Below are 16486 nucleotides of genomic sequence, written 5' to 3' on the forward strand. Positions count from 1 at the left end.
CTGCTGAGTCCCTATTCTGCTTTTTAGCATGAAGTGGGAGTGGGGTACTCAGAGATATATAATAGGGTTTGGTACTTTTTTTCTCTATTTCCATCTTGATGCTTCACATAAAGTAGAAAAGGTCACAGCTGTCAAAGTCTTTATAGGTAACCAGTGAAAAAAAATAAATAAAATATAAAAGGAAATAGCCTTAAACCATTAGTATTTGCTTATTTTATATTAGATTGGTGCAAAAGTAACTGCGGTTTTTGCCATTACTTGGCAAAAACCACAATTACTTTTGCACCAATGTAATATTTAGCGTTAAACTAGTTCAGGCTTTTGTTTCATCCTTTTGAGTTTCAGAGAGAGCAATATCTGGGTCTTCAGAGGACCACGCTCTCTGGGTTCCTAAATCAAATGTCAGTTTCAGTACAGCTGAGAAGACAGTAAGCAACAGGGAGGAAAAACCTGACAGAGGGAAGAGGTGGGAGGCGTAATGCCCTCCTGTGGATCCACAAGCACCACATTCACTGATTTTCTCCTGGTGATTTTTAAATCTGGTAGGTCGCACCTTTAGTAGGGTCAGTGTTTCCTGGATTTAAACACTCTAAACGCCAATTGCTACCCCTACCACGCTGGCAAATCGACTTACCTTTAAACCTTCACGGTCTCCCTTTGGTTATTTCATGTTACCTACAGCTGAAAAGCCTAAAAATCTGACACCAGAATGACCTTTCCTATTAGAAATTTCCCTGGCACACAGCAACATTACCAAGCCAAGCAATCATAATATTGTAGCTCAGCATGTTAAAGAACAAAAGAGGCAGTGCTGAACATCTTTGTTCCTGAAAGAAATCCCTGGCCAGGCGCAGTGGCTCACGCCTGTAATCCCAGCACTTTGAGAGGCCGAGGCGGGCGGGTCACCTGAGGTCGGGAGCTCAAGACCAGCCTGACCAACATGGAGAAACCCCGTCTCTACTGAAAATACAAAAAATTAGCTGGGCATGGTGGTGCATGCCTGTAATCCCAGCTACTCAGGAGGCTGAGGCAGGAGAATCGCTTGAACCCGGAAGGTGGAGGTTGCGGTGAGCTGAGATCGCACCATTGCACTTCAGCCTCGGCAACAAGAGCAAAACTCCTCCTTCTCGAAAAAAGGAAAAAGAAAGAAAGAAATCCCCTAATTGTGGCCACAACTGATAAGCAGTAGAGGTATAGAGGGTTCAGCAAAAATAAAAATGATTAATAACAAAACACGATGAGCTTTGTTGGGTGGGAAGGCAAAGTTCCTTCATAATTCAAGCACATCAGTTACCTGTGCCTAGAGGTATCTACATAATAAAATGATGCTTAAAATAGTTAATTTATCCTCACCTGTGACACTAGCCTCAGTCTAGAGCAGCAGTTTTCAAAGCCACAGTGTTCTGGCTGACTGCTTATCTCCAACAGGATTAATACTCAAAACATGGCACCATTGTTCTGTATATTTGTGCCAGGAGCGATGTCACTTTTGATCATTTTAACACAGAAGCTGGCTCATGAAAGTCAGCCTTCCTATTGACTTGATGACAGCCTCTGCTCATGGCAAGCAGTATCCTATGGGAAGGTGGTGTGCAGACTTTGAGGGCAGATTTTCAAACTTTTTGAGAACATCTATCAAATTTTCAAGGCTTTATTATCCCAAGAGAGTGAGCAGCTTTTTCCAGGATGTTTCATGCTGTTTGAACACTAAAAATAAAATAAATAGAGAAACAAACCTCCTAGACTTAGTCTGCTAACTTCCTTTCCACTCAAACTTTACCCTTTAAAGTTTGAACTAAAAAAAAAAAAATCCTGGCAGCTCTCAGACCACATGAGTACAACTGGTTATTTCTACCTTGGGAGGAGAAGGTGCGTTTGATTAAACATTCATGCCATTCATTTTTGATAGGGTCACCCAGAGTTAGCAGATAAAAACACAGGATGCCCAGTTAAATTTGAATTTCAGATAGATAATGAATTTATGTTTAGTAAGTAATTTACGTAAGTATACCCCATGCAATATTTGGGACATACTTAATCTAAAACTATTCTTTGTTGTTTATCTGAAATTCAAATTTAACTGGGCATCCCATATTTTATCTGGCAACTACATCTCTTGAAAACTATGGGGTCCGAAATTGCAGACTTGAGGTTAATATGTTATGCCTCAGTTCCTGAGTGTTATTTAACCATGTTTAATAAAGTTAAGATGGGCACTTCTTAGTTACCCAAAATGTCAGTTCATTTTGTTTCTGCTATCCAGACTTTCCAAACAGCTTTACTTCTAAGCTCCAAAACAGGCTAAGTCCTTGATAAGCTGTTTTCTTTGCCTAAAGAACACCCTGCTCTTGGATAAATATCACAAAGAACACAAGGATGTGCATTTGCATATGTATGTGTGTGCAGAAACCCAGCTCCCATATCTGACAATATCCAGATTGTTAAATCCCCTTTCTTCAGAAAGTATTTTTGAATCAAATTTTAAAATGTCTCTAAATCATGGCACCACAGGTTCAGCTGGCATAACCCAAAATCACTCCAATCTTATAGCGAGAGCAAGACCACGATTATTCCTAAATAAAATAGCAAAATTAATGAGCTTGAAGTTTCATTTGGAAGAAAAGAAGAAATCAATGCTAGACCTACTTCTTTGTTCCCTATCATAATGAAGCAGGTGTTTCACTGAAGGGATGCTTCTACAAAACTTCAGTTCCTGTTCAAAACAATAATATAATAGCACGTATATCCTTTGGTGATACTTAATTAACCTAATTAATATTCTTTTTCTTCTCTTAGTCCTTCACATTAATAACATTACTTCAGTAGTGTGAAGGGCTAGAAAAGAAAAAAGACCAATTAACTTCATCTTGCTTTGGATTATGTGCTACTTTGAGTAGAGGATGTGGAAGTCATTAGTGCTATTGTCCAGTATTTCATTCTCCCCCTTAGGACATACTATAGAATTGTACTTCTTGGTCCATTGAGTTATGGGGTTATGGTTACGGCAAAGCATTGACCAGCTCTGGACAATTAGTAGAGAATGGAAATGCTGTGTGTTACTTCAGGCCTGGAGCTTGTAATAGTTGGTGCAGGACCCTCAAAAAATCTTGCTCTCTAACTTGGAAACTAGCAACATTCAAGACTACAACTGTTTCATTTACTTGAGTCTTTAGTTGACTGAGGTGAACAGACACCTACTGGTGACCAATGATGGTTATGTACCATGTGTGAGAAATGCACTTTTGTTGGTTTAAATCACTACGTATTTGGGTTATTTGTTATTGCAGCAGAGTTCAGCCTAGCCCACCACATGAAATATGCAATTAAGGAGGTTTTCGTGTTTTTGCCAGCCAAATGAGTCTATAAAATACTCTATAAACTATTTCTTTTTTTTTTTCTTTTTTCTTTTTTTTTTTGAGATGGAGTCTCGCTCTGTCGCCCAGGCTGGAGTGCAGTGGCACGATCTCGGCTCACTGCAAGCTCTGCCTCCCGGGTTCCCGCCATTCTTCTGCCTCAGCTTCCCGAGTAGCTGGGACTACAGGCACCCGCCACCACGCCCAGCTAATTTTTTTGTGTTTTTAGTAGAGATGGGGTTTCACCGTTTTAGCCAGGATGGTCTCGATTTCCTGACCTCGCGATCCGCCCACCTTGGCCTCCGAAAGTGCTGGGATTACAGGCATGAGCCGCCGCGCCCGGCCTCTATAAACTACTTCTTTTTTTCTTTTTTTTTTTTGAGACAGAGTCTCGCTCTGTCGCCCAGGCTGGAGTGCAGCAGCGCGATCTCGGCTCACTGCAAGTTCCGCCCCCCAGGTTCACGCCATTCTCCTGCCTCGGCCTCCCAAGTAGCTGGGACTACAGGCGCCCGCCACCACGCACGGCTGATTTTTTTTTTTTATTTTTAGTAGAGACGGGGTTTCACCATGTTAGCCAGAATGGTCTCGATCTCCTGACCTCGTGATCCGCCCGTCTCAGCCTCCCAAAGTGCTGGGATTACAGGCTTGAGCCATCACGCCCGGCCTGTAAACTACTTCTAATCCCCTAAAATTTGAATGTTTACGTTTATATCATTAACTTTAATCCTCAACAACCTCTTAAGATAGATACAATTGCCATCTCCAGTTTAAAGATAGGAAAAATGACACAGAGCTAGTAAGTGATGCTTAAAGTCACACAGAAAGAAAGTAGCAGAAGGAATTTGAACTCATATCCAACTGCAGCTATAGACCATGCATTTTACCACATCACTAAACTGATACTCAACTATTTATCTCTGGAGTTTATTAAAGGAAACTTCTCCACAGTAGAGGCAGCAGGTCTCGGAACCCAATGGAGGCACAACAGGTACCAATAGGACAAAGGTGCCCCATGGACGCTCTTCTTCTCTCTATGTGTCGGTAGATCTTGACTGGCCTGAATTTATATGGCCATATAATGTTAGAAACTCTCTTTGGAACTATATAGGAAAAACCGTAAATTCTTTAAATTAGAATTTATTTAAGTATGTAAAAGATGCATAGGAAGTGGCAAATGGACAATTTTAACAGTCATCCTGTATGGCAGCCACCTGCACCTCTGTTTAATATTCCAAGCAGCATGTAAGCAGAGATCAGTCCTTGCCATCCTCCATTGCTATACTCAACCAACACCATCGATACGCTTGTGTTTATTATTTCAAGGAGGATTCTTCTGTAACTTCCATCACAGATGGAATATCAGTTATGCAATGCGGCCCTGAGTGCTACAATACCAAATTATCAAATTCTCCATTGGTTAACTTAAAAGACTCAAATAAATTACATTGTTTTGAATGCAAATTCTGTCTGAGTACTAGGATTTTCCATTTCTGAGATGTATTGCCCAGGCAAACTAAGTACATCACTTCATTTTAAGATTCCTTCATGTCAGTATTTAAGCTGAATATATTTGTATATTTCCAAAAACAAAGTGATAAAGTGATTTTACAGACATCCCAGGTTCCCTCCTAAAAATACCATTTTTCATCGGCTTAATCATTAAGCCTTAACAATAGACTTGTTAATTCAAAGAGGAGGATCAGAATCTGATAGACCACAGGAAACCAGTAAACCCAAACATTTGACTCAGCTAATCTCACTTTCAAGGACCCTGCATTTCTCAGAGCCCTGTCCCCCGAATCTTCACCATTTTATCTTGGAAGAGTGAAGGAGAACTTGGAAGATAAACCCAGAGGACCACTTTTCTTCCTGACCAGGAACAAATCTTCCAGCAAACCCACACCTAATCAAAAACTGAAGTAAAACATGTAAACTGGAGCTACTAAATCATGCATGAGAAATAATACAACATGAACTAAGGTGTCAAAACAATTGTCTAACTAAGACCAATTTTTAGGATCTCAGTGAATTCATGCTTTAGACACACTGCAAGAATAGAGCCCTCAAAGCCATAATCAGAACCTAAGTCTTCCTCTCACTGAAAAGGGAGTGGAATTCTATTCAAGGTTTATTTTAGCTTTCCAGTGCTTTCAAAGTCAATAAGCTGTACTGGTTTTCTTGCTTTTACTGTTTGAAGTTGCTCACTGGATCAGTAATACATCAAGAAAAAAATGCATATAAAGTACGTCCATAATTGAAAACATAATCTTAGTTCTTTTGTAGGGGAGGGTAGAAATGGCCCAGAATTAACTATTGTCCTTATTTTAATTCAGAGTGTAATACAGTAAGAATAAGAACTATGCTCTACAATACCAGAAATATAGTAAATATTTTATAGTTAGGTTATTTTGCCTGAAAGCATCTAGGGAGCTTTGTGTCTGTAGAAAGATAAAAATGAAGATTTCACAATCAGACTTAGATTTCTCTTCAGCCTCTTAACACATCTACAGGGCCAAGTGGAAGAAACCTGATGCTGATATACACCAGACCAAACAGCTGGTCTCCCCAAGGAAGTGGATTAGCAGTATGATCACAGTGTACAGCTCACTGCAGAAAAGCTCTATATAGCCTCCTACTTTTTGTCTTCTGCTAAAATAGCCACCAGAGGGGAGGGCAGCAGGACAGTGCATAGCATGATGCCAGATGGCACGGAGTGGGGATGACAAGACTGCCTCTACCATTGCTAAAAATGAGTGCCTTCTGGACAGTTATGAGGTCCATTACAGGAAGTTGGTTCCATTAGTTAAGTCTCATCCTCCCCAAATTTGGTTGTCAGGGATTAATTTTATGATTTACATGGTGATCAATACAGGATCATTGTTAATTTTTCACAAACTATTACAACATATAATCTGTGCCTTAAATCAGTTCTCCTTTTTGGAAAGGGTGTTTTCTATCTAATTAGATATCACATAAGGGCAAACTGTCACTGGATTCCACTTTGATCAGGAGTTTATCCTTAGCACCAACCAACTCAACATCTCCTAACTTCAGGATTCATTATCTCAATGAACTCTGGCAATAGCATCCCTAAAACCTATCTTTCCAGGAGACAGGTCATTAAATGGTCCTTATTTAAGGCATTCTTTTGCAAAGCCTATTGTCTAAGGAAAAAAGAGATAAACAAGCAGAAAGGAAAACTGATTCCAATTCAAATAAGCGTTCTCCTTCTAAATACCTTAACTTATTTGGGGGCATTCTTGCATTGCCTTCCAGTTCCTGGTATTCTGTTCTATCAGTAAATATAACTAAATCTCTCCCCTTTCCATTTTTTCACTCAAAGTTGGTGCAAAACTGGAATCTTTCATTCACGAATACACACAAAATCTCAGATTCCTCCACCCCACCCATGGTTCATTCTTATATAAGTGGTCATTGCCAACATTAAAGGAAAGTTGCTCAAACTAAAATTTGAATCTGATCCTCCAGAAGTAGAACTTCTGATTCTGACTTTGGCGATCAGAATAAAGGTAAGAAAAGTGGAGCATTAGGCCAAACTTTAGACAGTTACCATCTGGCTCCTTTTATCTGCCCCACACCTATTTTTTTTTTTAATTTTTTACTATTATACTTTAAGTTCTGGGGTACACGTGCAGAATGTGCAATTTTGTTACATAGATATACACGTGCCTTGGTGTCTTGCTGCACCCATCAACCTGTCACCTACATTAGGTATTTCTCCTAATGTTATCCCTCCCCTAGCCCCCCACCCCGCAACAGGCCCCAGTGTGTGATGTTCCCCTCCCTATGTCCATGTGTTCTCATTGTTCAACTCCCACTTATGAGTGAGAACATGCAGTGTTTGGTTTTCTGTTGTGTGATAGTTTGCTGAGAATGATGGTTTCCAGCTTCATCCATGTCCCTGCAAAGGACATGAACTCATCCTTTTATATGGCTGCATAGTATTCCATGGTGTATATGTGCCACATTTTCTTTATCCAGTCTATCATTGATGGAACATTTCAGTTGGTTCCAAGTCTTTGCTATTGTGAATAGTGCTGCAATAAACATACGTGTGCATGTGTCTTTACAGTAGGATTATTTACACCTTTGTTTTTAACCTGGTTAGGATCAGACTGAAGAGCCACTCTGAGGTCCTACATCCAAACTTTGTGAAAAAAAAGAACCCCAATATGGCAGTAGCGCAATATCTATGATGGTGCTTTTCAGTTTCAAAGAGGGTTGTCTTTAAATTTATAAAGGTTATGCCCATAGGGCCTTTATAAGTGATTTTGGGGAATGATGATCCCATAGCACACTCATTAGAACTCAGTGTTTTGATGATGGCAGCAAGCATCAGGTAAGATTTGTAGCTGCAACATAAGCCCAAGTTGCCCCAAATAAATCCACCTTTACAAACAGAACCACTCTCTCAACCATACTGCATGGTAAACCTAATTAATGTGACATTTACCCTGCGATCAAAACTCTTATGAAATAGTTCTATCAAATTCTCCCATATTTGTCCAAGTCCTGGTGGAGCTTTGCCTGATATTAGAGAATGACACTGAGCAGTGATAACTGTAGTTATTATTTAGAATGTTGACTTATCCACAGTTATTTCTCTCATTTGAATCTAGCTACATCTAGGCCAATGGCTTTTACTCAGGGATGTATATGAGACTTGCCTATTGAGTTTAATGACCTACTCCAGACTTCATGAATCTTTTTTTTTCCTTTGAGATGGAGTCTTGCTCTGTTGCCCAGGCTGAAGTGCAGTGGCATGATCTTGATTCACTGCAACCTCTGCCTCCCGGGTTCAAGGAATTCTGCCTCAGCCTCCCGAGTAGCTGGGACTATAGGCGTGCACTACCATGCCTGGCTGATTTTTGTATTTTTAATAGAGATGGGGCTTCACTATGTTGGCCAGGCTGGTCTCGAACTCCTGACCTTGTGATCCACCCGCCTCGGTCTTACAAAGTGCTGGGATTACAGGCGTGAGCCACAATGCCCAGCTGAATCTTTTAAGAGTATTATATCTTGAGGTTTTTTTTCTCTGTAAAAACTATATTCATTCATTTTTATAAAATCAGAAATAACATTCCTTGACTTCTTTAAAAATCGGCTTACTCATTATCCTTCAAGACATTCTAATTTTGGTGGAACGATTTTACTGTCTTTTTTTGCATGTCACATTACGTGCTATGCTTATTATAAACTCTCATCAGACCTTTCACATTTTAAAATTATCAGTAGTAAACTAACCACAGTGATTCCTATTTCTGTCATCTATAGATGGTTACATTTTCCTTCAATGGTTGCCTGAGGTTTTATTCAGCTTTAGGCTACAGTTTGTGTCTTTGGCAAAGATAAATCTCAAGAGCCTCATAGTAAAGGACCAGACACTTTAAACAATTGACACTTCAAATGACAGACTCTTGGATACAGGCATCTGATGACACCAGTGGGCTGAGTCAGGATTTGTAGAACTTTAGTGGAGAAGCAGACAGCTTCATGATACCACTAGCCCAAGATCAAGAGGAACAAGAATTAATTACACAAGACTGACTGAGGCTGGGTGTAGTGGCTCATGCCTATATTCCCAGCACTTTGGGAGGCTGAAGAGGGCAGATTATTTGAGACCAGCCTGGCCAACATGGTGAAACCCCATCTCTACTAAAAATACAAAAAAAAAAATTAGCAGGGCGTGGTGGCACATGCCCGTAGTCTCCATTACTTGGGAGGTTGAGGCAGGAGGATCCCTTGAGCCTGGGAGGCGGAGGTTGCAGTGAGCCATGATCACACCACTGTACTCCAGCCTGGGTGACAGAGGGAAATTTTGTCTCAAATAATAAAAATAATAATAAGATTGAATGGACTACCAAGGAAAATTTTATGTTGGTTATTTATTTAGTATATTATTTTTATTGTTCTATTTTTGAATATATAAGAAGTCCTCTCTATACTTCAACTATCTGTAATTCACAACAATTTAGTAGATGCTGCTAATATAAACTGAAATAAAACATTTAAAAATGGCATCCGAGTCTCACTGATCCCCAGAGTTCAGAAACTCATACCAAGTGTCCTTACATTCTTACGGCAATAGGATAATTTGTATACATTCAATAATAATCTGTCTTCTTTTATCCCCAATATAATTGGAAAATTCCATTATTCAACAAATGTCTTGCTTGGAATGGAAAGCATTTGAGAATGAAGCTCATTGTATCAGATAGAACAGGCCACTTAAATTCCAGTGGGAATTTTACCTGCAGTCCAGGATTCCAATGCTGTATTATGAGCAAAGACTATACAAGCACATTTCTCCCCTGAAATCTACCTGTGTATGAGCAACAGGCTGGGAATTACATGCCCCATTAGCACCTTATTACAAGTGACAACTGTGTAATTTCTGTGAGGCCAGACTACAGGATGAAAAGAAAGAGGGTAGTCTGAGGAGAGATGGCTGGTCACCCTGAAACTTACTATGTCATACGTGACTCCTGGTAGGAGATTCAAGGTCAGCACATCCCTGGGATCAGTCAGACCTGGGGGCAGCCTTTGGGGAACCTGTGCCCTCCCCAGCATGACTCTCCTAATTAGTTAGGTGCTGGAGTGCATTCAGTAATAATCTCAAGCTTATCATAACTCAAATGGTATTTCACACTCACTTCGCTGCAACAAGAGTTACACTCTGTTTAAGATCATCACAACACACCTTCATTAATGCAGAGGGCATTTTCATCTCACTATGAAATTAACTGACTAAATAAGAGGTTGCAATGCCAAGGAAGAAGGAAGATAAAAATCACAAAGCAAATAACAAAATTGCATGGTTAAAAAACCTGCCCAGCCAAAGTTGTTATAACAGGAAGATCTCCTGATGCATGTTTGCTAAACAGGACTGGGCTTAAAAGTTATTACAAAATTAACCTATTACACTTAAAGCCTCCCACATTATTTTTAAAGTTAACATCTAAATGTTAACAAAAAAGCAAAGTTAACGCTTATGGAACTTCCATGTCCCCAAAAATATGTTAGGTGCATTACACGTAAAATCTCAACTATAGAAATATTACCACTTTGTAATTACGAGTTAGAGTAGATAATTCAATCTTTTTTAAAAGCATCAGAAAGGCCAGGCGTGGTGGCTCACTTTCACAACCCGAGCACTTTGGGAGGCTGAGGCAGGTGGATCACTTGAGGTCAGCACTTGCCTGGTCAACATGGTGAAACCCCGTCTCTACAAAGAAAATACAAAAATTAGCTGGGCACGGTGGCTCACACCTGTAGTCCCAGCTAATAGGGGAGGCTGAGGTGGGAGGATCACTTGAACCCGGCGGTGGAGGTTGTAGTGACCTGAGATTGTGCCACTGCACTCCAGCCTGGTTGACAGAGTGAGACCCTGTCTCAAAAAAAAAAAAAAGCATCATGAATCATATGTATCAGGGATTTTAATAGTCTTTGCTACATTCTTATACAAAAAAAGTTTTAATTAATAAAATATCCATTTACTATCAAAATGTATTGGAAAGATGTTTCCTTTATTCATTTAAATACTAATTGACGTCAGAAAACCAGATACTACACACACATACATACTAGTATGTTTATTCCAGTCCGCTAAACTTCAGCCTAAAAGAATAGCTCTGGATGAAACTGAGACTTCTGATTTTGCTGAGCAGAATCCCCACGTCTGAGGCACGAAAACATCCTGGATGAATGACAACAGAGAGATCCTCCTCCATCTTCCCCGCAAAAGAATGCAGCTGCTCCTTTAAATCAAAGTCCAATCTCCAGGCGTGGTGGCTCACGCCTGTTCGCAGCACTTTGGGAGGCCGAGGCGGGTGGATCACCTGAGGTCAGGTGTTGGAGACCAGCCTGGCCAACATGGCGAAACCCTGTCTCTACTAAAAATACAAAAAAATTAGCCAGGCATGGTGGCAGGCGCCTGTAATCCCAGCTACTCAGGAGGCTAAGGCAGGAGAATCGTTTGAACTCAGGAGGCGGAGGTTGCAGGGAGCCGAGATGGCGCCACTGTGCTCCAGCCTGGGGGATAGAACGAAACTCTGTCTCCAAAAATAAAAATAAATAAATAAAAATTAAAAAATAAATCAAAGTCCAATATTTAAGAACACGTTTTAAGGGGCACCAAATTATTAGCCGGCTCAGAGCACCCAACTTTTAACCTGCAAGAGCTTCCACGTGTCTCAGGTCGGCAGAGCACGCAATGACAAGTCGTGCCAATCCCCTCCCGCAAAACAGTGCGCTCAAATCGTCTGCCAGAACCGTGTGGCCTAGCCTAAGAATCACCCGTCTTGGCAAAAGCCTGAGAAGAGAGAGCTGCTACCTGACTTTCTCCGTGGCTCCTCCCGCTCTCCGCTTTGAAGATGGACTTGGGCTTCCTGGACTTGAAGTTGCCCATGCTGGGTCGCAATACGCTGTCCACCAGCACGGTCGCCTCTACATTCTGCTGCTGCGGCTCCCAAGAGGGCGGCGCGTGCTCTTCTACCAGAGCCCCTGCGTCGGGGTAGTTCTCTTTATTGTTTTCATCTCTAAAACAGGAAAGACCCAATTTAGAAAGTACCTTAAAAAAAGATGAATAAACTGCTGCAGGAAAGAGGGCTGGAGATATTCATTGCTGCTATATTTATAGGATAGACACCTCGCAAAATTTTTAGCCTACACTTAGACAATTTTGCATGAACAAAAACTTAAATGTGAATTTCACTCTATATCACTTCACCTTCCCTTCTGATCTTTGTTAATGAATACATACTTTGTGTAGGTGTAACTATACACATATCATTATTATTATTTTTCTAATTTTCACTTTAAGAAACTTTCACATATATCATATTTCCCTCTCACAACAGTAATGTGACATATTCAGGTGAGATATCATCATCTCTACTTTATAGATGAAGACTCTAAGAGATTAAATCACACGCCTAATGGAAGGACTAATCCACACAGACCCAGAGGCCTCATGTGGGTCTCCAGACTCACACCTGTGTTCTTGGTTCAAGGCACCATGCTTCCTCTTCATTGGCAATGTCAGTTTATAATCATCCCCCTACAACTTTCAGAGGTACTTAGAAATTTAACAGGATCTATTTTGATAGGCATGGGCCAAATTTTACTCAACCAGGCCCTCTGAACAATGCCCTGAATGCAAAGTCAAACATCCAAATGTCCAAGTTCTGGTTCTGAAGAAGATGGAAGAGGGCGGTGTTATCTTCATATATTCAGGGCTGGGATGGCACTTGTGTTCTTCGTTCAACAATCAAATTCTGTACAATATCCCTACCCCCCTCCAGTTACAATTTTCTCAAAAATACTGACATGATAACACTCTTATTTGAAGCCATTCTTCCCACTTAAATCTAGATGCATTTTATTTTTCATTCTGCTAAGTATCAAGCAAACACCACAGACATAACCAGAAGGGGCCTTCTCTATATAATCAATATCATTAACCTTAATCTACCACAATCACTGTCACTAGAACATGAAATGCATGAGAAGTGGCCGCTTCCTTCAGGTGTTGTTTTTCCCTCATGCTTCCTTACCAAAAGCACCCATAAAACAGCATTTGCAAAGTCACCTGGAAAGCAATTCCTAGCTGCTCAAGGACACCTAAAGCCAAGAAGCAAGACCAGCAAAGAAGGAATGCCCACCATTCAAGACAACTTTTTACAAATAAAAGGCAGATTAAATTCACTGAGCTGGCATCAGGAAGGATGAGTTCCAGGTAGTCTTTGGGAAAAGAGCAAAGCAAATATCAAGATAGGTGGTCTGGAACATGACCAGGGTGCAGTTGGACAAGATATAAAAATAAAACTACGTGACATAGTTAAACTTGAATCCAGAACAAACGTAGTGCTATCTGGTAAAGGAGAATCCAACAATTACAATAATTATTTAATGTTAGTAACTGAAAAACAAATCAATGCCAATGACACTGGTCAATATTCTAGCTGTGAGATCATTTACAATTAAAAAAATTCTAAGTCACTCATAGATTTGGAAATTAATATCAAACCATGAATTGGAAACTATACTAGTTCATTTGAAGTACATTTTTCTCACTAGAAACCCATCCACTCCATGATCCTGCATGAGAAACAAAAGAAAGAACAGCTGCCTTTACAGTTACCTAAATGCCCTCATTCGAGTAGGATTATAGAACACTCAAGAATTTTAAAAAATAGCTTTTCAAATCTAAAATGACTCTTTTGATAGACTCATTCCCAAAATAATACCTGAACTTTGTTTTTATATCATGTTTTCAAGTCAATCAAAATTTAGAAGTGTAATTTTGTTTACTTCCTTGACTTGGAAAGCCAGGAAAGGGGAGAGGGGGCCAAAAGCATCTTTCTTGCATTACACAAACGTAAAACCTGGTTACAAAAGTCATATTTAGAAACATATTTTCTCACATATTATTGGTTCCTCAGGATCTCCGAAACAGAAAAGCACAGGTTATGTAATTTATGCCACTACTTATCGGAATAAATCATGACTGAGAAAAAGCATGGTGTCCTGAAAAAAGCCAGAGTCTAAAAGATCCTCCCACTTATTAGTTGTGTGGCCTGGGCAACATCACTTCACCTCTATGATCCTCATTCATAAAATAGATGTAATATCTGCTTAACAGAGATAATACAGTCTCTCTGAAATGCCTACCATAGAAAGCTGACCCAAGGCTGCAACCCAATAAATGAAAGCTATTGTTACTCTCAGGCAGGGCCTTAGCCATGTGGTTATTTGCAAAGGAAAAAAAAAGGAGAGAGAGAGAGTTCTTTTTGGTTTCTCTGATGCCTCCAAGATAATTCTGAACTCCTTAGCAAGGAACACAAACCCTAGGAAAATCTGTTCTTTGTTTACCTCTAGAGCTTCACATCTTATCTTACCTCTTACTTCCTCACTCCACCAGGTTCCCAGGGTTCCTACCATCCTGAACCACTTGCTGTTCCTGCAACTCAAACAATTCTCTCTACCCTCTATTGGCTTTCCAGGAAGCTGCTCCCTCTGCTTGGTGGCATTCTCTTTTTCTTAGCCTTGGACCTCACCAATAATAATAATAATAATAATAATTTAAAAAATAAATAAAAATCCATATGCCTTGTATAATGTTCTTCAGGAATCAATCCAAGAAAGCTCTCTGGGCTGTTTGATTCTTCTAAGTAAATCCACTATTTACCTCTAGTATAGTAGCACTCAATGCACTGTAGCATCCACATCTATATTCTAGCCTATCTCCTCTAGCAAACTGAATTCTTAGGAGCAGCATTGGTTTGTCTTTCTTCATCCCAAATCTTAACTGGCTGGCTCCTTGCCCACAAAATTGGCCTTCAACAAATATTTGTTATCCAGTAAGTGGACTTTAAAGTCAGAGAGGCCTGGGTCTAAATTCTGCCTCATAGTGCTACGTTATCTTGGATGAGCTATCATTCCTAAGTGTCAGTTTCTCCATCTACAGGATGAGAAAGGAAACATCAACTTCCTTTCAGTTTAGATTAAATAATAAAATGTAGATGAAAGGGCTTGGAACAAAGTAAATGTAGAAGAAATGATTAGCAGTGAAGGTTTTTCCACGATACTATAAGCCCTTGATGACCAAGACCATACTACAGACACTCAATAATATGTTTGGTGAATAATCTACAGCCTCTTCCTTTAGGGTGTGTGATGAGAATATTGAGATAGGCTAATCAATACTCAGTTCAACAGGCATTTATCAAGTGTTCCCACAGGTAAGGTACTGTCCTGATTGCTAAGAGGGTGGTATCCAAAAGCGGAAAAGACAAAAATTTTGTCAAGAGGTAAAAATCTAGTAGAAGAGATGAGACATGAGAACAAATAATTGGAATTCAAAGAAGAGACTAGAATTCAAAGGAAAGCCACCAGACCTAGATGGCTTCTGTCTCTCACAAATATGAACCAAGCAATGGTGGCTTTTACCTGAGACTGGAGCAATCAGTCTGGTCTTCATGTAGAGAGACTGGATCTTCGTCACACCTGGAAGAGTGGGAAGAAAAATCACATCAGATCCAATTGTCTGCTATAGCAGTAGTAGCAATAATCTAGAATTGTCTCAAGATTACCATGGAAAACTAAAAGATGAAACACTCCCTATCATTCTCTCCCAAATAAGTTCTGATTCCTATGTCTCCCAGTTTATGATGCAAATGTTGTCATATCATGTGAGCTTAAAAGCTCAGAGCCAGATGTGACTCTCCTTTTTGCCTCCACTGTCCTGTGTCACCTAAACTAACAAGGACCTAAGTGTTCACAGCACTTGAGGGGACATTGGACACCAATACTGGTATCCTCAAGACCAATACTGGTTGGCTCAAAAGAGATTCCATTACATGCCTCTTTGCATTTTTTCTGCTTCAGGCAGTCCCAAACCAAACCAGCCTCCATTTAGTTTACTCTATTGGTCTCAGATTTTCTTGATCTTGTGAAAAGGAAGGGGTTCCTTTTCATAAAACTTCCGGATTAACTTTATGAAAAATTCTTGTCTCTTCCATATTGAAAAATCTCCAGTTCTCCATCCTGCCTAGGGGAACCAGGAGTAGGACCATCCTTTCGCTCTAGTATATAGGATGAAGCCTTTGTTCCTGTTCCCAACCATTCCCACTCAGCCCCATTCAAGCCTGGAATACTTTTTCCATCTTCAACTCCTACTCATCCTTCACTGCCCAAGTCAGGTTTCCCCAGCTCTGTACCTTCCCAGCCAAGGTCGCCCATGTGCCATGTTCTCAGTCATGTGCTATGATGGTTAATATTGAGTATTAATTTGATTGAAAGATGCCAAGTGTCATTCCTGGGTGTGTCTGTGAGGGTGTTGCCAAAGGAGATTAACATTTGAGTCAGTGGACTGGGAGAGGCAGACACACTCTCAATCTGAGTAGGCACCATCTAATCAGCTACCAATGCGGCTAGAATAAAGCAGGCAGAAGAAGCTGGAAAGAACAGACTTGCTGAGCCATCTGGCCTTCATCTTCCTCTTGTGCTGGATGCTTCCAGCCTTTGAACATCAGACTCTAAGTTCTTCAGCTTTTGGACTCTCGGACTTACACCAGTGATTTGCCAGGGGCTCTTGTGCCTTTGGCCACAGA

The 16486-nt window shown here is 40.3% G+C and overlaps 1 protein-coding gene across 22 annotated transcripts in view; it reads right to left on the bottom strand.

The window, feature by feature from the left end:
- Positions 1-16486, bottom strand: part of FAM13C (family with sequence similarity 13 member C) — a 117053-nt gene that overhangs the window by 94435 nt on the left and 6132 nt on the right. For 21 of the 22 annotated variants that reach the window (XM_006717702.4, NM_001347845.1, XM_017015891.2 and 18 more), the window contains 2 exon segments: positions 15324-15380; positions 11707-11911 (listed from right to left, as the gene is read on the bottom strand). In XM_006717702.4, the coding sequence (XP_006717765.1) occupies positions 11707-11781 (75 nt within the window). In that variant the 5' untranslated portion in view covers positions 11782-11911; positions 15324-15380. 22 annotated transcript variants of the gene reach the window in all.

The sequence above is a fragment of the Homo sapiens genome, chromosome 10, assembly GCF_000001405.40.
Source record: "Homo sapiens chromosome 10, GRCh38.p14 Primary Assembly".
NCBI classification, from domain to species: domain Eukaryota; kingdom Metazoa; phylum Chordata; class Mammalia; order Primates; family Hominidae; genus Homo; species Homo sapiens.